The sequence below is a fragment of the Homo sapiens genome, chromosome 12 (genome assembly GCF_000001405.40).
Source record: "Homo sapiens chromosome 12, GRCh38.p14 Primary Assembly".
In the NCBI taxonomy this organism is placed as follows: Eukaryota; Metazoa; Chordata; class Mammalia; order Primates; family Hominidae; genus Homo; species Homo sapiens.
In genome coordinates, this window is record NC_000012.12 from 100200172 (window position 1) to 100224994 (window position 24823).

A 24823-nucleotide genomic window follows, 5' to 3' on the forward strand; every position below is an offset into this window, starting at 1 on the left:
CCTCAGCCTCCCGAGTACTTGGGATTACAGGCGCCCGCCACCTCGCCCGGCTACTTTTTGTATTTTTAATAGAGACGGGGTTTCGCCGTGTTGGTCAGGCTGGTCTCAAGCTCCTGACCTCAAGTGATCTGCTTGCCTTGGTCTCCTAAAGTGCTGGGATTACAGGCGTGAGCCACCGCGTCCGGCCCAAAAGCCTTTTTTGGATGAGAAAGACTCACTCAGCTTCGTCCTGAAGAGCAAGTGGGCTGGGGAAGAGGAGAGTATGAATGTGAGTCCAAGAGCAAGTTTTGCACTTTTTTCTTCAAAGAATGTCACCGTCTGAAGAATGCGATTGGAAGACACACACACACACACACACACACACACACACGCAGCCGGTTCTCTACAGGATTAGAAAAAACTTGCGCGAATTAATCTGCGTAGTTAAAAACAAATACGAAATGAGCGAGAAAGCACATAGTAGTCAAATCTCGCCACCACATAAACAGGTTAAGTTTGGAAGCACAGCCCCTAACATTCGGTGCTGCTTAGCATCTCCGACTTCCGGCGTCCTCCGTTGCTAAGGTGACCAGAGGCGCGTCCTAACGCTCCGCCCAACAAACCATAGAGTACCGGAAAAAGCTCGAGCAGAGGGGTCGGAAAGGGAAAACAACTACGGCTGCGGTGTGGTTGGTGGTGAGATGACGACCTTAGTGCTGGATAATGGAGCTTACAACGCCAAAATCGGTTACAGCCATGAAAATGTGTCGTAAGTACTTTCTTTCTCCGAGGGACAAGATATATACGCCTAGTGGTTTCATGTGCTACGTTTCATCTCCGGACATCAATGAACTGCAGACACCCCCGCGCGGCCCTGACTTAGCCAGAGGGATTCCCTGGTTGGAGCTGGGTGGGTGATTGTGATGCTTTGAATTGAAATTGATTTTGGTTTTAGTTTTGGGCTGCGAGGCCCCGGAAGTGGGATATATGTTTTATTTCGTAACAGGAAATAGCCAAAGAAAATAGGCTTATAGAGATGCGTTCCTGACAGAAGGGTCCGTAAAGTTCATCAGCCTTTGGAAACTATGGGCACGGTGTTTGGGTGTATGCGGATTTTCCTGGGTACAAGATTATAGGTTTCATTAGATTCTCAAAGGGTTCTATGACCCTCCAAAAGTCTAAAAATCACGGTCTTAGGATCTAGAGGCTTTGAAGACTTTGGCCTACTGGCCGACCTAGTTGGTAAGGTCAATTAAACAGAAGTACTGTTAATACAATGGCATTCATAACATGTATAGTCATAAAATATATGTTTGAATAAATAAGCAAACCTAAAGACACGCCTTTCCTTTATCAAATTAACAGAGCATTAAAAAAAATTCTTTCCTTCCTCCCTCCTTTCCTTCTTTTTCATTTCTTTTGAAACAGAAATGAAAGAGGGAAATCAAACTGAGTAGGAATGTAAATTGTTACAATCTTTCTGGAAAACGTTTTGGCAATGTGTATCATTATCATTGTCACCGAGGCTGGAGTGCCGTGGTGCGATCTCAGCTCACTGCAGCCTGAATTCAAGTGATTCTCCCGCCTCAGCCTCCAGAGTAGCTGGGATTATAGGCGTGCACCACCACTCCCAGCGAATTTTTTGTATTTTTGTTAGAGACGGGGTTTCATCATGTTGGCCAGGCCGGTCTCGAGCCCCTGGCCTCAAGCAGTCTACCCGCGTTGGCCTCCCAAAGTGCTGGTATTAGGGGCGTGAGCCCTACACCCAGCTGACAAAGCAATTTTTTTTTTTTTTTTTGGAGAGGGAGTCTGGCTCTCTTGTCCAGGCTGGAGTGCAGTGGCACGATCTCGGCTCGCTGCAACCTCTGCCTCCCGGGTTCAAGCCATTCTCATGCCTCAGCCTCCCAAGTAGCTGGGACTACAGTTGCGCACCACCACGCCTGGCTAAGTTTTGTATTTTTAGTAGAGACGGGGGTTTCACCATTTTGGCCATGCTGGTCTGGAATTCCTGACCTCGTGATCTGCCTGCTTCAGCCTCCTAAAGTGCTGGGATTACAGGTGTGAGCCACCGCACCGGGCCATGACACAGCAATTCTGTTATTACCTAGAGAATTAATTAGAAGTGCTTTGTATTATTCATAGTCATCGTATACAGGCAGCCAAAAAATGGGAAGGAAGCTAAATAATCAGGAATAGCATATTGGCTAAATACACCAAAATACAACCTGAGACTGATAACAAATTCAAGCTTCTTAAAATTATGTCTTCAAAGAACATTTAAACATGTAGAGAAAATGCTGACAGTATTATAAGTGAAATAAGCAGGTGTAAAACATTTTTTTACAGTATTATCCCAGTGTCATCTCGTATACACATACAGACACATTTGTATGCATACATGTGTGTATAATTAATAATGGCTCTAGTTTGTCTTCCAAACCAGATTGTAAGCTCATGGCAAGCAGCAAGAGGCCCAGGTGGGTGGATCACGAGGTTAGGAGATCCAGAGCATCATGGCTAACACGGCGAAACCCTGTCTCTACTAAAAATACAAAAATTAGCCGGGCGTAGTGGCAGGCGCCTGTAGTCCCAGCTACCTGGGAGGCTGAGGCGGGAGAATGGCGTGGGCCTGGGAGGCGGAGCTTGCAGTGAGCCGAGATCACGCCACTGCACTCCAGCCTGGGGCGACAAAGCGAGACTCGGTCTCAAAAAAAAAAAAAAAAAGTTGCTACTTCTGTACCCTGTAGCAGCAGCAGTCTCCAACCTTTTTGGCACCAAGGACTGGTTTCGTGGAAGACAATTTTAACGTGTGGTTGGGGGTATGAGTGTGGGCGATGGTTTTGAAATGAAACTATTCTCAGGTATTAGATTCTCACAAAAAAAGTGCACAAACTATATCCCTTGCATGCACAGTTCAAAATAGGGTTCCTGCTCCTATGAGAATCTAATGCTATGGCTGATCTGACAGGAAGTGCAATTTAGGTGTTAATGCTTACGGCCCCACCCTCCTTCCCCACCCTGGTGCTCACCTCTTGCTATGAAGGCTTGGTTCCCAACAGACCACAGACAGGTACCGGACCACAAGCCCTGCGGTTGGGGATCCCTGCCCTATAGCATCTTGCTGATTGAAGATCTTTGGCTTCATGGGAACTTAATTTATTTTATTTTTTTGAGACAGAGTCTTGCTCTGTCGCCCAGGCTGGAGTGCAGTGGCACAATCTCTGCTCACTGCAACCTCCGCCTCCTGGGTTCAAGCAATTCTCCTGCCTCAGCCTCCCCAGTAGGTGGGATTACAGGCATGCACCACCATGCCCAGCTAATTTTTATATTTTTTAGTAGAGATGGGGTTTTACCATGTTGGCCAGGCTGGTCTTAAACTCCTGACCTCATGATCCGCCCGCCTCCGCCTTCCAAAGTGCTGGGATTACATGCTGTGAGCCACTGCTCCCGGCTGGAAACTTAATTTTTATGGCCATAATTTTTAACTTGTGAATCTTTTTTTTTTTTTTTTTTTTTTTGAGACGGAGTCTCGCTCTGTCGTCCAGGCTGGAATGCAGTGGCGTGATCTTGGCTCACTGCAAGCTCTGCCTCCCGGGTTCACGCCATTCTCCTGCCTCAGCCTTCCAAGTAGCTGGGACTACAGGCGCCCGCCACCAGGCTGGCTAGTTTTTTGTATTTTTAGTAGAGACAGGGTTTCACCGTGTTAGCCAGGATGGTCTCGATCTCCTGACCTCGTGATCTGCCTGTCTCGGCCTCCCAAAGTGCTGGGATTACAGGCATGAGCCACCGCGCCCGGCCTAACTTGTGAATCTTTAATCCAAATGGTATTAAGACTTTCTGTGTTAAAGCCAGAAAGACTAGGACCTTTACCAAAGCACTGGCTTTCGCCTCTGCAGTGGCGGAAGCAATACTTACCTGTAAGGATTTCTTGAGGATTATTAGAGAAAGAAAGGATCCAGTATAGAACTTGTTACATACTGAACTTTAAAAAAAAATGGGGGAGGGGCATTTTTGTGTTATTATTATTTTAAAATAGAGACAGGGCCTTGTTCTGTCCACCCAGGCTGGAATGCAGTAGTGGGATCACAGTTCATTGCAGCTGCAGACTCCTGCGTTTAAGCAATCCTCCTGCCTCAGCCTTCCTCTAGAAGATAGGAATATAGATGCTCATCACCATGCCTGCCTGATTCGTATTTTTCTCTTTCTGTTTTATTTTATTATTAGTTTTGAGACTGAGTTTTGCCCCATCACCAAGGCTGGAGTGCAGGGGTGCAATCTCAGACCACTGCAACCTCCATCTCTCAGGTTCAAGTGATTCTCATGCCTCAGCCTCCTTAGTGGCTGGGACTACAGGCATGTGCCACCATGCCTGGCTAATTTTTGTGTTTTTTTTTAGTAGAGGTAGGGTTTCACCCTGTTGGCCAGGCTGGTCTCGAACTCCTGACCTCAAGTGATCCATCCGCCTTTGCCTCCCAAAGTGCTGGGATTACAGGCGTGAGCCACCATGCCCAGCCTTATTTTTTATTTTTGTAGAGACAGGTTCTGGCTATGTTGTCTAGGCTGGTCTTGAACTCCTGGTCTCAAGCAATCATCCTGCTCCCAAAGTGCTGGGATTATAGGCATGAGCCCCCACTCCCAGCCTTTGGTATTATTTTAAGACAGAATGAGAAACACTGGATATACCAATCTTAGGATACGCTAATCTTTTGGCATCAAGAGTGGTGGTGAAGTAAAAATGTTTTTAGGAACTAAATATTTAGGGGATAATTATTTGTTTCCTTGTTTCTAGGGTTATTCCTAATTGTCAGTTCCGGTCAAAAACAGCACGTCTTAAAACTTTTACTGCCAACCAGATAGATGAAATAAAAGACCCTTCTGGACTCTTTTACATCCTCCCTTTTCAAAAGGTAATCCAATTAATTATGTTTCATTTCTAGCATTGTAGACCTAAATTTAAAGATAATTTTAATTGTATATAAAAGGCTGTGTGTAACTTAAATTTTAACTACAACCTAATTAAACCCAAATTAAAATTTAATTGTTTGGGTAAAAATAAACGACCATGATTTAGTTACTTATTGTGAGTACTGATTTTTACTTACATTAAATCTAAGTGGTATGCACACATTAATTTAAGAAAATAAGTATAGGGAGGCAACTGTATATATTGGTGTGTCTTTTGAACCTCTGACATTTTAGTTATTGCTTATTTGTGAGTTTGTTTTTTAACTTTTTAAAGGAGAAAAACATACTAACATAATTGGTTTGAAATTCATACAGCAGTATACCTATGTAGTAAACCTGCACGTTCTGCACATGTATCCCAGAATTTAAAGTATAATAAAAAAATTTTTTTTTAAATTAAAAAAAAGAAATTCATACAGCATTACACTGGAAATGGTAACCATAGATAGAAATCAGTGATTTGGAATCTGATTTTTAAAAATTATTCAAATATTTATAATCTGATTTTTAAAAATTATTCAAATGTTCTTGATAATTAAATTTATAAAAACATTTTTTAGGGCTACTTGGTGAATTGGGATGTTCAGAGACAAGTTTGGGATTACCTTTTTGGAAAAGAAATGTATCAGGTAACAAATTAGAGTATGTATTAAAATTCTATTTCCATGTTTAATTGTAATGAAAAATTAGAATTTACATTTTAAGATTTATAAACTTATGAATAATGTTCTCCGCACATTTAAAATAAATAATAAATGCAAGTGAATAAAATTTCCATGTTGAAGTAGAGGTTGAGTAAAGATAGTCTGTATGAAACTCAAAATTTTACTTCAGATTTCTATTATTAGATCAATTCACTATATCATCTTAATTTTCACAAACGTTTTTGCTTACATATCTAAATACATGAATATTACAAGAGGATTTTGTGTTTTTAATGTCTGTAATGTGATTATAGGTATAAGGAGAAAATGTTCAAGTTTTAATACTTCTCAAGAATGTGTGTGAGAGAATTACATAAACTTGAATATCTTAAGCATCTTGCCCTTTGCCTTTTTTTTTTTAATTTAAAACATCTGCAGGCCAAGCGCAGTGGCTCATGCCTGTAATCCCAGCACTTTGGGAGGCTGAGGCGGGTGGATCACTTGAGGTTGGGAGTTTGAGACCAGCCTGGCCAACTGGTGAAACCCCGTCTCTACTAAAAATACAAAAATTAGTCAGGCATGTTGGCACACACCTGTAGTCCTAGCTACTTGGGAGGCTGAGGCAGGACAATTGCTTGAACCTGGAAGGTGGAGGTTGCAGTAAGCCGAGATTGCACTACTGGATTCCAGCCTGGGTAAGACTATGTCTCAATAAATAAATAAATACATAAATAAAACATCTGCAAGTTTTTTTTTATTATGATTTTCTTTTCTTTTTAATAGACATGGGGTTTCACCATGTTGCCCAGGCTGATCTCAAACTCCTGGGCTCAAGCAATCCGCCCAAGCGTGAGCTACCGCACCAGCCCCATCTTCTCTTGTTTTGTCTTTGTCTTGTTCTGTCCTTTTTTTTTTCTTTTTTTTTTTTAGGGGGAGTCTTGCTCTGTTGCCCAGGCTGCAGTGCAGTGGCATGATCTCTGCTCACTGCAACCTCTGCCTCCTGGGTTCAAGTGATTCTCCTGCCTTGGCCTCCTGAGTAGCTGGGATTACAGGCATGCGCCACCACACCTGGCTCTTTTTTTTTTTTTTTTTGTATTTTTAGTAGAGATGGGGTTTCACCGTGTTGGCCAGGCTGGTCTGGAACTCCTGACCTCAGGTGATCTGCCTGCCTCAGCCTCCCAAAGTCCTGGGATTACAAGCTGAGCCATCGTGCCTGACCTTGTTTTCCTTTCATTTAGAAACATAACAGCCCCAATATTTGTTGTATCATTCATTAATGTTTCTATAATTGTCTTTAAACAATTTTATGGTAACATTTTCTTTCATTTTTTAGAGACAGAGTCTTGCTCTGTTGCACAATCATGGCTCACTGCAGCCTCAATTTCCCAGGCTGAAGCAATTAGCCTACCTTATCCTTCTAAGTAGCCAGGACTACAGGCATGCACCGCCATGCCCTGTTAATTTTTATTTATTATTATTATTATTTTTTTAGTAGAGGTGGGGTCTTGCTGTGTTTCCCAGGCTGGTCTCATATTCCTAGCCTCAAGCAATCCTTCCACGTCAGCCTCCCAAAGTGCTGGGATTACAGGTATGAGCCACTGTGCCAGGCTGGTAACATTTTATTAATGCTACCTCTAACAGAAGTAAAATTGCATAATAGTTGAGTACATGGATTCTGTAACTAGACTCCCTGGATTCAAATCTTACCTATGTCATTAAATAGCTCTATGAACTTGGTCACTTATTTAACTTTTCTGTGCCTCAGTTTGCTCATCTATTAAATGGGGATAGTAATAAGACATCACGATTATTGTGAGGATTAAATAAATTTGTTTGTACATGTAAAACAAGTGTTAATTATCATTACAAATTATGAAACATTTTGGAATGTTTTCTCCTATAGGTTGATTTTTTAGATACTAATATTATTATCACTGAACCATACTTTAACTTCACTTCAATTCAAGAATCAATGAATGAAATTCTATTTGAAGAATACCAGTTTCAAGCAGTATTAAGAGTAAATGGTGAGTTCAAGTTTTCACTGAAATTGAGTTATATGACTATGGATATGAATAGGGTAATACTCATAAAGTCCCAAAATATTAAGTGGCATTCTTGGCTAGCACAGTGGCTAACACCTGTAACCCCATCAGTTTGGGAGGCTGAGGCGAGTAGATCACTTGAGTTTAGGATTTGAGATCAGCCTGGGCAGCATGGTGAAACCCTGTCTCTACAAAAAAATAGAAAAATTAGTTGGGCATGGTGACACGCACCTGTAGTCCCAGCTACTTAGGAAGCTGAGGCAGAAGGATCGTTTGAGCCTGGGAGGTTGAAGCCGCAGTGAGCTATGATCGTGCCAGCCTGGGTGACAGAGTGAGATCCTGTCTCCAAAAAAAAAAGAAATTGAATTCTGTGAAGCTTGAATATGGATATGAACCAAGTAAAGAAACTCTTAAAGTTCCAGAATACTATGTGGCATTTTTTAGATTTGAAGGAAATAAGTCTTGGATTTTTCTTTTTCTTTTTTTTTTTTCCGAGATGGGGTTCTGGTCTTGTTGCCCAGGTTGGCATGTGATGGAGCAATCTCTGCTCACCCTCCACCTCCTGGGTTCAAGCGATTCTCCTGCCTCAGCCTCCCAAGTAGCTGGGATTACAGGCGTTCGCCACCATGCCTGGCTAATTTTGTATTTTTAGTAGAGATGGAGTTTAACCATGTTGGTCAGGCTGGTCTTGAACTCCTGATCTCAAGTGATCCACCCGCCTTGCCCTCCCAAAATGCTGGGATTACAGGCATGAGCCACTGCGCAAGTTTTGGAATCTTAAAACTAAATGGACCCTTAGAGATTATATAGTCAGACATCTCTCATTTTATCTTTTTACTAATATTTCTTCTAATGAAGTTACTGGCCACATATTTCTTATTTCTGAAAGATTCTGAGGTAGTTATCTTTCCTGTCATTTATGTGTTTGCAATTATTATTGTTTGTTTGTTTGTTTTTGTTAAGTCAGGGTCTTGCTCTGTTGCCCAGGCTAGAGTGTGGTGGCACAAACATGGCTCACTGTAGCCTCCACCTCCTGGGCTCAAGGGATCCTCCCGCCTCAGCCTCCCAAGTAGCTGGGACCACAGGTATGTGCTGCCACATCTGGCTGATTTATTTATTTTTTGTAGAGACAGGGTCTCATTTTGTTGCCTAGGCTGGTCTCGAACTCCTGGACTGAAGTCATCTTCCCGCCTTGGCCTCCCATAGTGCTGGGATTATTGGCATAAGCCACGGCTCCAGGCCGAATTCTTATTGTTTGAAATAATGTTAGTAGCTCAGGCTGCCAGTGTGAGGGAGAACAATCTGTAAATATCATCTAGAAGCAAGTGTATTACAGGCTTAGATTACATGACATGGTTGGGTACAATGAAAGTATTTAAATATTTAACTTTCAGAATTTAAGTCCATATAAGCAGCAGTATGGGCAGTGGTTAAGGGCACAATCTCAACCAGGTGTAGTGGCTCATGCCTGTAATCCCAGAACTTTGGGAGGCCAAGGCAGCAGGACCACTTTAGGCTAGATGGTCAACATAGTGAGACTCCATCTCTACAAAAGAAAATTAAAAAATTAACCAGGCATGGTGGTGCATGTGTACAGTCCCAGCTACTGGAGAGGCTGAGGCAAGAGGATCACTTGAGCCCGGGAGGTGGAGGTTGCAGTGTGCCATGATCATTACCACCGGGAAGGTGCTACTGGCATCTCATGGGTAGAGGCCAAGATGCTGTTAAACATCCTACAACGCATAGGAAAGCCCTCTACAACAAGGAGTTATCCAACCCCCAATGTCAATAGTTCTGAGGTCTCAACCTACTGCCTAGGTTTGAATCCTGGCTCTGGTACTTCCTAACTGTGTGGCTTTGAGCACATTACTTTACTTCTCTGAGCTTCAGGTTCCTTATCTGTAAAATGGAATTGTTTTGAGTATTAACACACACACTCATTATACAGATTTTAGAATAGAGTCTGGCATGTAATAAATGATCAGTAAAAATGAGCTGCTGTTGTAGTAATTCTTTTAAACTATGGAGTGAATATTTACCTTTAAAAACGGATACCAAATTTTTATTATGTTTACCATGTAAGTGTGGTGTTTTAAAGTATAAACACAATAAAGATCTTTTGACAGTTATGAATAGTATTATAAATTAACATTTTTCTTGTAATAAAGGGAACATTTTTGTCTTGGTGCTTGTCTTTGTTTCCTACCTTTTTAATTGCTTTAAATTAGTGTTATATTTTTGTTCACTTTTTTATCTTTTTTTAAATAGCTGGGGCTCTCAGTGCACATAGGTATTTCCGAGATAATCCTTCCGAATTATGCTGTATCATTGTTGATAGTGGATATTCCTTTACACATATAGTTCCTTATTGTAGAAGTAAAAAGAAAAAAGAAGCAATTATTCGGTGAGTTGTATTTAATTTTCATGTTGTTTCTAAAGATTAAACAGAATGATATGTGCGATAATTAAATTTGAGTTCTCCCCTTGCAGGATAAATGTGGGAGGAAAACTCTTAACCAATCATCTAAAGGAGATCATATCTTACAGGTGATGCTTAGCTTTGATTCTTTGGGAGGATGGGGCTCTGGGGAGGAACCTTTTACAGTAATTTAAGATTATTCCTTACTTTTAAGGCCAGTCATTGTGACTCACGCCTGTAATCCCAGCACATTGGGAGGCCGAGGTGGGTGCATCACTTGAGGCCAGGAGTTCGAGACCAGCCTGGGCAACCTGGTGAAACCCCACTTCTACTAAAAATACAAAAATTAGCCAGGTGTGGTGGTACACACCTGTAATCCCAGCTACTCGGGAGGCTGAGGCATGAGAATCATTTGAACCAGGAGGTGGAGGTTGCAGTGAGCCGAGATCGCGCCACTTCACTCCAGCCTGGGTGACAAAGTGAGACTCTCTCTCTCTCAAAAAAAAAAAAAAATTGTAAATGTTGTACATTAACATAACTTATGCTACTATTTTTAATTTTATTGTGTTTAACACATAAGTAGAATTCTTAAATCTCAATTTCTTGTTACATTAACTTTGGATGGTATCATACCATCAGGATCCCTTTGCTCCCCTATGTGCCCTACTCCTTTGTATTTGCTCCCTGACTGTGTCGCTGACCCCTGGCAACTACTAATTGGCTTTCCATCGCTATATGTTTGTTATCTGAAGAATGTTAGTTTCTTTTTGTTTGTTTTCTTTTTACAATTTTATTATTACTATTATTGTTATTTGAGGCAGGGTCTCACAGTGTTGCCCATGCTGGTCTCAAACTCCTGGGCTCAAAAGATCTCCCATTTCAGCCTCCCTTAGTAGCTGGGATTACTGACCTGCACTTCGCGCCCCTGAGCTTGGCAAGAATGTTACAGTCTCAGATAACTAGAAGGAGGATATTGAGTGTTACCAATACACAAAAATGGATAAGTGTTGAAGATGATGAATATTCTAGTTATCCTGATCTGATGCACTGTGTGGGTTTCTTTTTGATTTTGAGACAGGGTCTTTGTCACCCAGGCTGGAGTGCAGTGGTTTGTTCATTACTCACTGCATCCTCAACTCCTTGGCTCAAGAAATTATCCTGCCTCAGCCTCCCAAGTAGCTGGGACCACAGGCATGTGCTACCACACCTGGCTAATTTTTGTATTTTTTTGTAGAAACAGGTTCTCACTATGTTGCCCAAGCTGGCCTTAAACTCGTGGGTTTAAGCTGTCCTCCTGCCTCAGCCTTCCAAAGTGCTGGGATTACAGGCGTAGCCACAGCTCCCAGCAAAACATCACTGTGTACCTGAGAAATATGTACAATTATTACATGTCAGCTTAAAATATATATATATATATGTTTTAAAGATACTGGTGGGAGAATGAATACTGGGATGGCCACACCCAGTCATGCCATACATTTAGCCATTTTTTCATTAAAAATAATTATGGCCAGGTGCAGTGGCTCGCATCTGTAATCCCAGCACTTTGGGAGGTGGAAAAGTTTTTGTTTATTTTTAAACATCTTTATTTCTATAGTAAGCCAATGTTTAAGCTTCACCCTCAGTCAAACATTTATTGAACAGCTTGTATGTGCTTGGTACTGTGTGCTGACTCAGCAATACTTAATATAATCAGAAAAGAAAGTGCATAGAGTTAAGGCATTGTAGCAAGATTCTATTCAGAATGGTTTGCGGGGGAATGTTTGATCTTTAGTTAGATAAACCCCACTTAACATCTTTGTTTTCAGTTTCCTTACCTATAAACTAGACTAATACCTACCCTCAGAGGAATAGTGTGGAAATTAATGGAAGTGACAGTATTCCATAAAGTTAAAATTATTTTACACATTCAAGAATTTAAAATTTCAAAAAATCAGTTACCTGAAAATTTAATTCCAGAAAAAAATTTCAGATAATTATAAATTATGTTTAATTGTTTTGCTTCAAATTTTACAACTTTTATTTCTGTTAGGCAGCTACATGTTATGGATGAAACACATGTGATTAATCAAGTGAAAGAAGATGTATGCTATGTGTCTCAGGATTTTTATAGAGACATGGATATTGCAAAGTATGTATAATGACAATCTAAGAATTGGAAAGTAGATTGTTAGGGGATGTTACACATAATTAGAATGTTTCATAAATCTCAATTTTGTTTTCCAGGTTGAAAGGAGAAGAAAATACAGTAATGATAGACTATGTCTTGCCTGACTTCAGTACAATTAAAAAGGGCTTTTGTAAGGTAATTTTTAAAAACCATCAATGGTTGGTTGCTGCGGCTCCTGTCTATAATCCCAGCACTTGGGGAGGCTAAGATGGGAGTTAAGAGACTGGCCTGGGCAACAAAGCAAGCCCCTGTCTCTATTATAAAATTAAAAAAAAAATCAGTGATATTTCAAGTGATCACCTCAGTTAGATTTGAAAAGAATTTCATTTAGGCCAGCCACCGTGGCTCACACCTGTAATCCCAGCACTTTGGGAGGCTGAGGCAGGTGGATCACTAGGTCAGGAGTTCAAAACCAGCCTGGCCAACATACTGAAACCCCGTCTCTACTAAAAATACAAAAAAAATTAGCCAGGTGTGGTGGCAGGTGCCTGTAGTCCCAGCTACTTGGGAGGCTGAGGCAGGAGAATCACTTGAACCTGGGAGGTGGAGGTTGCAGTGAGCTGAGATCACACTATTGCACTCCAGCCTGGGCAACACAGCGAGACTCTGTCTCAAAAAAAAAAAAAAAAAAAAAAGAATTTCACATCCAGCTGGCATTGGCAGGGCCTTAGAGAGTTGCTTTTCTTTTGTTTGTTTTGTTTTTTTGGTTTTTTTTGAGACAACATCTCACTCTGTCATCCAGGCTAGAGTGCAATGGTGCGATCACAGCACTCACTATAGCCTTTACCTCCCAGGCCCAAGTGATCTTCCTGTCTCAGCCTCCAGAGTTGCTGTGATTGCAGGCATGTGCCACCACGCCTGGTTCATATTTGTATTTTTTGTAGAGGTGGGGTCCTACAGTGTTGCCTAGGCTGACCTTGAACTCCTGGGCTCAAATGATCCTCCTGCCTTGGCTCCTAGGTGTTGGGATTACAGGCGTGAGCCACAGCTCCTTGGGCCTTCGAGAGTTGTTGATTACTACCTTCCTGCTGGCCATTTCACCCGGCAAAAGTGAAATTTGATTAATAAATTTCTTAGTAAATTTATTTAGAAAAAGAACTATCAGCCAAAAGATAGCACATAGGGCAAATCTGGAGATAAACAGTATCATTATGTATATTATGGCTAACCCATTTTTGTTTACTTAAAAATTAGTTTAAATTGAGTTAGAAATTGGTTATTTTCCTATTGTGAAAATTATTGACATAGCTGACCTAGGGCCAAATTCTACTTCTGTTTGGTCTGGTATGATTAGATTAGAAAAGGGCAAAATCCAATGGCATTTCAAAGTGTTGAGAAGCAGTTTATCATGGATGTCAAAATAATTTCTATTTATCTTTTATCAGCTCAGATAAAATTACTTCTGTGGTTAGGTAAATGTGAAGTTTGCATTTCTGGTTACCAGCTTGATGAGGACTGTTGGGAAGTTAAAAATCTTTGGTCAGAAACATAAGCACATTTGGGCAAGGAGACATTTATGATAATATTCATTGCAGTGTACTTTAAAATAATGAAAAATTGAGACCTGCCTAAATATCCACTAATGGAAGGAGATTAATTTTTGATATGTTCGTATAGTAAAATAATAAGCAGTAGAGAAATCAAGTAGAGCTTATATAAACAGCATGGACAAATCTCAGAAATCTGATTTTCACAGAAAAGCACATTTTAGAAAGCTATGTACACTTTTAGTCTATGCAGAATAATTATGTTCTCTTTTTGGTGAGAATAATAATATGTTATTAAGGTATACTTAAATATGAAGTAAAAGTATAAAAAACTATGTATGTGAATGATAAAATACCAAATTAGGGGAGTGTCAGCTTATCTGTAAAGTTACATTAAGCTGGTTGGTGAATACATGGGTTTTATATAATTATTTATACTTAGTATGCCTGAAAACAAAAGTGAATTTTTTTGGGCCAGATTATTGAGGTGAAGTATGAATCAGAGTTCAGAGACTACTTGGGGCCTTATAAAACTGAAATCATCCTTTTATGTTCTTAGAAACAGATCCTTATGGCTGTGTGTGGTGGCACACACCTACCTATAATCCCAGCATTTTGGGAGGCTGAAGTGGGAGGATTGTTTGAGACCAGCCTCAGCAACAAAGTGAGACCCTGTCTCTACAAAAAAAAAAAAAAAAATTAAAATTAGCTGGGCATGGTGTCACACACCTGTAGTTCTAGCTACTCAGGAGGCCGAGTTGGGAGGATTGCTTGTGCCCATGAATTTGAGGTTACAGTGAACTATGATCATTTCACTGCACTCCAGAGCTGGGCAACAGAGCCAGATCCTGTCTCTTTAAAAACAAAAGAAACAAAAAACAAAAAGTGAAACAGATCCTTATGAAAGGACCTAGGCTGGCTTTCAGAAATGGGAATTGAGATAGATGATGGGATAAGGTTGCCTGGGCATGTATCAGGTAGAGAGAAACTGGAAGCCCAAGTCCTGGCTAAGATACGGAAGGTGTATTTTTTTTCTTCTTCACAAGACAAGAAAAACTGCCCCAAACATTTAAATACCAAACCTCTTTCTTACTAGGCACATTTGATTATTGTCATATTTTATAGCTGATACCTTGTGGAAATTTTATGGTACTCTATAGGGTTAATAGGGGTAAAGTAATCCTGATTTCTACAGAGATGGATCTGAGTAAAGTCTCAGTGATTTCCAGTCTCCTCAAATCTGACTGATCATTGGAATCTCTTGGGGCACTTGAAAACAAAACAAAACCTGTATCCGTGTTCTCAGTTCCTCTTCCTAGAATTGCCTGTTTCATAAGTTTGAAAACTTAAAACCTCTTCCAGATGATTGGATAGTCAACTAGGAAATCTTTCTTTTTAGAAAAACTCTCCTTCCCTGCAAATTACAACCTATTTGTTTATTGGACATTTTCTTCTAAACTCTGCCAGTTTCTTCCTTGCCAAATCATAAGCCGTGTTTTCTCAAGTGAGTACCTTATGCAATAAGCCAGTAGAGGTGTGGTTATTCTCCCAGTTGACCATTACTTTACTCATCTTTAGAAAAGGCAGAAGCCATATAAGGTTTTTTATTGGCTTTTGACCTTGTGAACACAATCTGGTTATGGACTGTGTGGGCTTCATTTACTCAGGATACACTCTGTTGCTGATTCTCATATATAATGTGTATTTTAATAGCAGATGAGTGGACAAAGTCAGTTGGAACTGGGCTTTTGGCAGATGATACAGTGTTACCGCAAATGTTTATTGTAGAAAGAATGGTTTAATCTTTGTCAATTTCGTTAAAATGTACACCTTATTCAGAGTCTGTGTTAAATCATCTTAATAATTTTTTAAAGATTTAGAAACAGTTGTATTTTATATATTGGAATTTTTTATATTGTTTTGATTTTAATACTTGATTAAAATAAATATTTATTTGAGAGCCTTTATTCCTAGGGTTTTGTTAACACTTGAATTTTGATAGTTTCAAGAATATTTTTAAGTAGCTGGGGGAAGTTACATACTTGATTTTCTAGCACTAATGGTAGTAACAATAGCAATAAAAATAGGCCTGTAATATCATTACAGATAACAACCAATAGAAATTCCAGTTTTCTTTCTTATCAGAAAGAGGAAGCCTACTAATGTATAATGAATTCGACTGACCTAAATTGAGAAAATCGTCCTCATCATGGATTACCACTTTCTGCAGAGCCAGTATAACATACACTGATCATTTCTTTAATTGTACTGGAACTAACTTTTTGTTTGGTTTGAGACGGAGTCTCGTTCTATAGCCCAGGCTGGAGCACAGCGGTGTGATCACAGCTCACTGCAGCTTTGACCTCTCAGGCTCAAGTGATCCTCCCACCTTAGCCTCCCAAGTAGCTGGGACCACAGATGGTCACCACCAAGCCTGACTAAGTTTTTAAAAAGTTATTTGTAGAGACGAGGTACCACGCTCATCTATGTTGCCCAGGCTAGCCTCAACTCCTGGGCCCAAGTGATCCTCCCGCTTTGGCCTCCAAAGTGCTGGGTTATAGGCGTGAGCCAGTGTGCCCAGCCTCCAGATTACTTGTTAATGGTTAATGGCTTTAGTGCTAACATTTAACAAGGATGTCTAGTTCTGGCTCTCTCCCCTAGTTAGTCATTTAATCTAGAATAAGTCACATGATCCTCTTCTGTCAATCAGGGCTATAAACTAGATAACCTCTAATGTTTTGTCAACTGAAATTCCTAAGTCTGCAACTATCTCAGGTTATTTTGAATGTTGATAAAATGAGTTATATCCCTTAAACTCAAGTCAGTGAATGGCTGGAATTTAATGAATTTGTAAATTCATAGAAAATATTTTCCATTCTGCTTGAGAAGGAAGAATACTTCTATGAGGCATAATATTCTTCTCTTTGTTACTATATAACAATATTTTGGGTTAAAAGTGATTTATAGTTTTCTGGGTTAAAAGTGATTTATAGTTTTCTGTTCTTCCTGGAGTATTTGTGAATACTGTATAATTTTCAGGATATTTTTTATTTTAGAATAATGTTTTGAGCATGGAATTCCCAAATGATCAAAATCTAACCATTTATATCCAGGTTATGAGTGGTAGTATCATGGAAGGAATATTTTGTATGTGCTTTGGATTATGATATGAATGACCTTGAACAAGTAATGTAGCCTTGCAGAGCCCAATTGCATCATTAATTTAAAAGGAAAATATGCCCGTGTTACAGGGTTATATGAGAGTTCAGTGGGATAATGTATGTAATATGTTTAATGAATGACATGTTGCTGTCTTGCTTACTATTATTCAAGAATTCATGGAGTATCTACTGTGTGCCAGGTACTTTTTTATGATAGTTAGTGGATATGTGATGGTGAACAATATAAGCTATGAAGGATAATATAGGGTGATAGAGAATAGTGAAGGATCTTTTTATTTGGGAAGCAGAGAAAACCTCTCAGGAAGCTGAAATCTGAATAGAGAGTAGATGGCTGATTATATTAAGGGACCTATCCTTTTATGGGAGGACAACTGCATTTATAAGTCAAATGAAATGAATGTCTTTACCTGAATCTAGGAAAGCTGATGGTTGTAAAATTGAGAGGGACCATTATTTTAATGATTTAGAATATTGTGGAAGGAGATTATTTTTGCAGCCCCCTCAGCACTACAGCTCACAGATTGGGTGGGTTAGCAGAAAATAAATAACAAGAAAATATGAGTCATGGTTGTTTAAAGTTTGTTATACATAGGCCTCATATAAAGTTAGCATTATAAGGTAAGTTCAAGGATAAGGACCATGGACTTGCTTACATCATTTGGAAACTAATTTTGAATAGAGATTGAATACATATTAAAGAAATGTAGAGATGTAGGCTCTTTCCAGAAGGGAAAGGGGGAATCCTAATAGAATAGAGCCACATATCCAGTAAACACCTAAATTAGGGGAGTGAAAGTAGACAGTACTAGAAACACAAGACATAGTAAATGTTTTTTATTTAGAATGTGTTCTTTGTTCCCTAGAAACTAGAATCATTGTACCATTATAGGTATATTATGAAGTTCTCTCTTGTCTCTCCTCCTTTTTTTCTTTGTATTTTAATTTTTGTTTTGTTTTTTAAGAGACGGGGGTCTCGCTATGTTTCCCAGGCTGTCTTGAACTCCCGGGCTCAAGTGATCCATCCGCCTTGACCTCCCAAAGTGCTGGGATTACAGGTGTGAGCCAGGGCACCTGGCCCTCTTTGTATTTTAAAGTGTGTGGAATAAAGCTGCCAAATTATCTTTGAAGGAACAGCCATATTAGCGTCAGTAATTATTTAGTTGTGTTTTGTGTGATTTTGGCAACAGTAAAGGCAGCCACACATTCTTCTAAATTTTGAGAATCCTGAAACTTCCAAGAACATTATTAATATATTATTAATATATTATTGCATATATAATTGCATATTACTAATTATTAGTCATGTGAGCTAGATAATATAACTTAAACTTTTAATCTTCTTTGTCTTTAAGCCAAGGGAAGAGATGGTGTTGAGTGGAAAATACAAATCTGGGGAACAAATTCTTCGTTTGGCCAATGAGAGATTTGCTGTTCCGGAAATACTCTTTAATCCTTCTGATATAGGCATTCAAGAAATGGGAATTCCAGAAGCTATTGTCTATTCAATTCAAAATCTACCTGAAGGTACATAAATAGAGTAAAATACTAAAGAATTATAATTGTTTTAAAAACATCATAAGCCCTGTGAACCCTGTTTCCTCTAAATAATTTCAGGCAAATTGGTGAGTCTGTTTTATTTGCAGAGATTTGTAGATCCCATAATGCATTTATATAATTCTTGATTCATCTTTGATTATAAGTTTTTTTTTGTGATTATAAATTCGATAGAGGAAAAATCATTATGGTCCATTTAAACTTGAAGAAATGTATCTCTCCATGAGCATTAAATTGCCATATCCATTTTAGGAAAGTTTTAATTTAACCCAGATCTGTACAGAATATAAATTTATAATGTAACAATTTAATGGTTTTCAGCTATTGGTAGACTGACTTATTCTTTCTGCTATATTTAGAGTAACATACAGGATTAATTTTAAAGAGATTGGAATATGGTGCTTCATAGTGATTTCTGGATTCTCCTGAAACATGCCTTAAGTAAATAATGTTCCAGAGTTTTAGGGTACTTTACTATCTCCCTGGTTTGCAAGAAGTAGGCATTGGAGAAAATCTAGCACAGGCCATGTGCTTTCCTCTCATTAAAAAAAAAAAAAAAAAAAGAAAAACATAATGCTGTCCATACATAATTATTTCACAGCTATTTTCATATTTCACATTTTATATAAAGTTGCAGTCATGATGTGTACAACATTTTGTACTACACTGCTTTAAGGTCATGGCAGAGTGAGACTCGAGGTCAATATAAGGAAACTCTGCCCTTGTTTTACTGAACAGAAACATTAGGTGGGACGGCCCATACCTGTTAATTCCTGATGGATTTTCCAGTGGTGTTTTGAAGGCTTTAAGTAACATTTGCTATCATGTAACTTTAATGAGTGTTCATACTTAGATCCCTTCTTTAAACATAGTTTATGAGTGTTTTTAACTATCAAAGGTAAGTATTGCACAACATACATGTTTGCCTCAATGAGATAATGTGGAGATTTGGGCTTGTAAGTTCAAATGTCATGAAAGACCTCGTTTTCATCCTTGTGGTAGCTCACAGTCTCAGCCTACAGCAAGAACCACCCCCCTTCCATTTTAGAGAAGAATAATTATAATTACCAACTGTTTTTTTTACTACAGTGTCACTCATTTATATATGGCTTACATGAGTGTATAGTAAGTAGCCAGTAGTTTACCCCCCTCACCTTAGGTTTTTCTTTTAAAGATCTATGTGGTCATTTTTCACTGTTTCATGTCTTTATTTGTATAAACTGTAACCTCATTACAAATCTTAGAATGGACCTGAAAATTTATTTGGTTTCCCACCAGTAACTGTAATCCCTAATTGCTTCTTATCTGATCCCTCATCCACATCTTTCCAGAAAAGTAAACAGATTTTCTAATGCCTTTTTTCCTTTCCTTCTCCTTTTCTTCTTTTAAAGAAATGCAGCCGCATTTTTTTAAGAACATTGTCTTGACAGGAGGAAATTCCCTTTTCCCAGGATTTAGGGATCGGGTTTACTCAGAAGTTCGATGTCTTACTCCAACAGATTATGATGTTTCTGTTGTGCTGCCTGAAAAGTAAGTGTTGTTTTATATAGAAACGAAACATGGAAGTCCACATGTAGAAAAGGTGGTCTGTTGACTTGAGTTTAAAACCTGGCTCTCCCACGGTGGCAGGTTCATTTCACCTGCTGAATATTCATTTTTCTTCTTTCAAAAATTGAAATGATAAACCTTACATTTCACTAAATTAAATGGAAGTATGTAAAGTGCCAGCCATAATGTTTCATACACAATGGGTGCTTAATTAAGTATATGGGGTGATTACTCCCATGTAGTAAATCAGCCTTGGTCCTAAGAGATTTTTATAGGCAAAGCAATCAGGTTATTGTCTATATGATTTATCTGAGATGTATTATTTATTGACAGTTTCTGTCAGGAATAGAAATTGAATAATTGAACCATTGTGATAAGTTTTATCAATTCATAAATTGTTTTAGAATTTTTTAAATTCTCCTTTAAATGACTTTTATTAATGAGGTTTTTAAAATTCAAAACTGTTTTATGTCTACCCTGTACAGTGTTATATGAGAAAAAGTGCATATCATCACTTCCACTTCAGTGGTTAAAATAAACTAAGGTAGGGCCAGGCGCAGTGGCTCTTGCCTGTAATCCCAGCACTTTGGGAGGCTGAGGCAGGCAGATCACTTGAGTTCAGGAGATTGAGACCAGCCTGGGCAACATGGTGAAGCCCCGTCTCTACAAAAAATTAGCCGGATGTGCTGGTGTGCACCTGTAGTCCCAGCTACTCAGGAGGCTGAGGTAGGAGGATCATTTGAGCCCAGGAGGTGGAGGTTGGTGTGAGCTAAGATTGCACCACTGTATGGTAGCCTAGGTGACAAAGCAAGACTCTGTCTCAAAAACAAACAAACAAACCCCCCTGGCAAAAAAAAAAAAACAAAAAAAGAAGGTAGAATTTTACAGCTCTAAGGGCTTATATATCATCCTATTCTATATTCTTATTTTGTAAATAAAGAAACAAGGGCTCATGAGTTGGCAAATGCCCTATGGTGAGTTAATAGCAATGATCAGATTAAAACCCAGTTTTCTTACCTTGAGTGAGGACTTCTTACCCAAAGTATATGTCTAAAAACTCACCCCTAGTGTTAGTGGCAGAGTTGCAAACAAGACCCCACATACCTGACTCTTAATTCTAGAGTTTTGTTTTAAAGCTAAAGTAGAATTTTCCAAAATCAGCAAGTTAATAGAAGGCCCTCATTGGTATCACTTTCTTTTATAGCTATGAGATAAATGAATAAACAATTTAAAAATATTGGGATGATTTTTATCACCACTAATGTTCATATGTTCTTAAGACTATAAAGCATATTGGCTTTTTCTCTTGCATGCACAGATTACAGGCCAAGGGATCCACAGAAATAGGTCTTATTATTTTATTAAATAAATTTTTATTGTGCGTCTACTGCTTTTATATATGTATAAATATATGTGTATACTTATATATAAATCTATTTTTATAAAAGCTTAATGCAAATATAAATACAATAAAACATTTATTGGCCAGGTTTGGTGGCTCACACCTGTAATTCTACCACTTTGGGTGGCCAAGGTAGGGAGATGGCTTGAGTCCAGGAGTTTGAGGTTACAGTCAGTTAGGATTGCGTCACTGCACTCCAGCCTGGGCAACAGTGTTTGACCCCGTCTCTAAAAAAAAAGAAGGAAAAAAGAAAGAAAAGAAAACCTTTTTTTTTGCTGTAGAGATGGAGTCTCACTGTTTCACCCAAGCTGGCCTCCAACTCCTGGGCTCAGTAATCTGCCTTAGCCCAGCCAAGTTGTGTTTTGGGGGGTTTTTAAAATTTTTTTCAATTTTTTTTTTATTTTTTGAGATGGAGTCTCACTCTGTTGCTCAGGCTGTAGTGCAGTGGCGCAGTCTTGGCTCACCACAACCTCCGCCTCCCAGGTTCAAGCGATTCTCCTGCCTCAGCCTCCCGAATAGCTGGGACTACAGGTACATGCCATCATGCCTGGCTAATTTTTGTATTTTTAGTAGAGATGGGGTTTCACCATGTTGGCCAGGCGGGTCTCAAACTCCTGACCTTGTGATCCGCCTGCCTTGGCCTCCCAAAGTGCTTAGATTACAGGTGTGAGCTACTGCGCCTGGCTTTGGGTTTTTTTTTTTTTTTTTTTGAGACACAGTCTCGCTCTGTTACCAGGCTGGAGTGCAGTGGTATGATCACGGCTCACTGCACCCTTGACCTCTGGACTCAGGTGATCCTTTCACCACAGCCTTCCATGTAGCTGGGACTGCATGCATGAGCCACCATGCCTGGCTAATTTTTAAAATTTTTGGTAGAGATGGGATCTTGCTATGTTGCTCAGGCTGGTCTTGAACTCCTGGGCTCAAGCAGTCCTCCCACCTCGACCTACCAAAGTGCTGGGATTACAGGTATGAGCCACCATAACCGACCTTTGTTTTAATAGAGACAAAGTCTCCCTCTGTCACTTGTGTGATCATAGCTCACTGCAACTTTGAACTCCTGGGTCCAAGCAATCCTCCTGCCTGAGCCTCCTAAGTAGCTAGGACTACAGGTATATGCCATCATACTTGGCTAGAAAATATTGATTTAACATTTTTCTTTACCTTTTTCAGATTTGAAACTCTAAACTGGGGAAAAAGAATAGTAGAAACAGAATTGAGTCATAACACATAGTATAACCTTGGTTGTAGATAGCAAAACCAAACTAGATGTTTTACCTGCTCTAATTTTACCTATTGTCTGTGTCTTCCCACATAATTGTTTATCATACACTATGTTTTCTGTTTCATTTATTAGAGGCAACAAAGTCTATCAGCAAAAGCACAGACTGTGAAAACAGTTCTGAGTTAAATCCTAGTTCCAGCCTAAATTCTAGTTCCAGACTTAACTTCTCTGAGCCTCATTTTTCAAATCTAGAAAGTGGGAGTAGGCTGGGTGTGGTGGCTCACAACTATAATCCCAGCACTTTGGGAGGTCGAGGTGTGTGGATCACCTGAGGTCAGGAGTTCAAGACCAGCCTGGCCAACATGGTGAAACCCCACCTCTACTAAAAATACAAAAAAAATTAGCCATGTGTGGTGGCATGTGCCTGTAGTCCCAGCTACTTCGGAGGCTGAAGCAGGAGAAACGTTTGAACCTGGGAGGCAGAGGTTGCAGTGAGCTGAGATCGTGCCACTGCACTCCAGCCTGGGCGATAGAGTGAGACTCCGTCTCAAAAAAAAAAAGAAAGAAAGTGGGAGTAATAGCTATTTTATGAGTTGCTATGAGAATTATTGAGATGACATATCTTTGCCACATACAGAATTTAGACTCAGTATGACAGTTTTTCCTTTTAGGCATCTTTTGATCTTTTGCTTATATCCTTGTTTTTTCTTTAGAATTAGAGGGTCCATAAATTCAGGACATAGGGAAAAAGGAACATTTACTATTTTGTAGCGGTAAACAAGGTTCCTTTCCTTTTTGGGTTGCTCTACTCATATGAAATGTATGCTTATTTCTGTACCTTAAACAATTTTCTGTTGGGTTGGGTAGAGCTTGCCACATTTTAATGGCAAAAAAAACACAAATTACTTTTGCACCAACCTAATAGTAATTTATGTTTCAGGCATTTCAGTTTTCCTGTAAAATCATCTGGGTTCATTTATACCTTTATTTTCAGCCCTATTACTTATGCCTGGGAAGGTGGAAAATTGATATCAGAGAATGATGATTTTGAAGATATGGTGGTAACAAGAGAAGATTACGAAGAAAATGGACATAGCGTCTGTGAAGAGAAATTTGATATTTAAGCAACATTTTTGAATGAAAGTTGTGACCATAAGGTTTAATTTCAAAGTTCCTTTTAAAAGAGGTTAAGGAACTGTGTTACCTTTTGTCCTAAGAAAAAGGCTTGAATTTATGTAAATACTTTGATCGATTGCTAATTTTCAAAGGCTTCTTAGGTAGGTTACTACAGTAAACTGTAACTCAGTCCACATTTTCATTTAGGAGCTAGACTACCATAACAATGCTTATGCTGTTTCCAAGGGTAGGTTATTTTTCATTAAAAGAAGAATGAATGCATTTTAAGTTTAATTCTTCATAGCTGAAAGCACAAATTTAACGGCTTCACTGGACAGTTTTCCTTAGAAGGTAGTTTTGTGTGACTGTGACTAAACTATTTTATTTTAAAATGTCATTCTTATTTATACATTCTAAAGTTGGAAAGACTGATCTTATATGTGTATAATGTTTATTTTGTACCTAGAGTACATTTAAAAGGGTGGAGACTAAGCTAATAAAGTTTTTTTGGCCACTACTGTGTGGGCAGAATATCTTATTTCACTCATAAAAGTACTATTTTTTTTAGGATGAATGAAAAGAGATTTGAAGTTAACTCAGGGTTGTTCAAGAACTTTTTTTTTTTTTTTTTTTGAGACGGAGCCTTGTTCTCTCACCCAGGCTGGAGTGCAGCGGCGTGATCTTGGCTCACTGCAACCTCCGCTTCCCAGGTTCAAGCGATTCTCCTACCGCAGCCTCCCGAGTAGCTGGGATTACAGGCGTGTGCCACCACCACCACACCTGGCTAATTTTTGTATTTTTAGTAGAGACAGGGTTTCACCTTGTTGGCCAGCCTGGTGTTGAACTCCTGAGCTCAAGTGATCTGCCCGCCTTGGCCTCCCAAAATGTTGGGATTACAGGCATGAGCCACCGCGCCTGGCCTGTTCAAGCACTCTTGATACAAATGTTAGCATTTTGTTTTTAAAACAAAACAGTGATCCATAATAAACATTAAAGTGTTAGATTCCAGCTTTCCAATTTCAGGGAACAGCTGACAGTGACATCAATGAATGGATCAGGTACGCTTTTCTGATTGCAAGCAGTAGAA

General features: G+C 39.2%; 1 protein-coding gene across 3 annotated transcripts, besides 5 other annotated features; it reads left to right on the top strand.

Moving 5' to 3' along the window:
- Positions 440 to 734: an enhancer, noted in NCBI's record as "tiled region #7946; HepG2 Activating DNase unmatched - State 1:Tss, and K562 Activating DNase unmatched - State 1:Tss". NCBI's record gives its function as "activates a minimal TATA promoter and a strong SV40 promoter by Sharpr-MPRA in HepG2 and K562 cells {active_cell/tissue: HepG2 | K562}" and the evidence as "EXISTENCE:reporter gene assay evidence [ECO:0000049][PMID:27701403]".
- ACTR6 (actin related protein 6) lies at positions 644 to 24253 on the top strand. 3 transcript variants are annotated; one of them, NR_048568.2, is made up of 11 exons: positions 644 to 889; positions 4769 to 4886; positions 5505 to 5573; positions 7492 to 7615; positions 9902 to 10037; positions 10124 to 10180; positions 12085 to 12183; positions 12279 to 12357; positions 18244 to 18415; positions 19837 to 19975; positions 23615 to 24253. NR_048568.2 is itself a non-coding variant. In NM_022496.5 (11 exons), exons 1-11 carry the CDS (start codon positions 681 to 683, stop codon positions 23742 to 23744), a joined length of 1191 nt encoding a protein of 396 aa, NP_071941.1. In that variant the 5' UTR covers positions 644 to 680; the 3' UTR covers positions 23745 to 24253. The 3 variants fall into 3 exon arrangements, 1 of the variants encoding a protein (NP_071941.1); NR_048569.2 differs by having other exon boundaries at positions 644 to 748; positions 5505 to 5586; NM_022496.5 differs by having other exon boundaries at positions 644 to 748.
- Positions 708 to 907: an enhancer, noted in NCBI's record as "active region_6854". NCBI's record gives its function as "activates an Ori minimal core promoter by ATAC-STARR-seq in GM12878 lymphoblastoid cells {active_cell/tissue: GM12878}" and the evidence as "EXISTENCE:reporter gene assay evidence [ECO:0000049][PMID:35858748]".
- Positions 1752 to 2439: an enhancer, noted in NCBI's record as "H3K27ac-H3K4me1 hESC enhancer chr12:100595701-100596388 (GRCh37/hg19 assembly coordinates)". NCBI's record gives its function as "activates a minimal SCP1, AML or CMV promoter by ChIP-STARR-seq in primed H9 embryonic stem cells {active_cell/tissue: H9 hESC(primed)}" and the evidence as "EXISTENCE:reporter gene assay evidence [ECO:0000049][PMID:30033119]".
- Positions 2440 to 3125: an enhancer, noted in NCBI's record as "H3K4me1 hESC enhancer chr12:100596389-100597074 (GRCh37/hg19 assembly coordinates)". NCBI's record gives its function as "activates a minimal SCP1, AML or CMV promoter by ChIP-STARR-seq in primed H9 embryonic stem cells {active_cell/tissue: H9 hESC(primed)}" and the evidence as "EXISTENCE:reporter gene assay evidence [ECO:0000049][PMID:30033119]".
- Positions 2757 to 2816: an enhancer, noted in NCBI's record as "active region_6855". NCBI's record gives its function as "activates an Ori minimal core promoter by ATAC-STARR-seq in GM12878 lymphoblastoid cells {active_cell/tissue: GM12878}" and the evidence as "EXISTENCE:reporter gene assay evidence [ECO:0000049][PMID:35858748]".
- Positions 24254 to 24823: the final 570 nt, after the last annotated feature.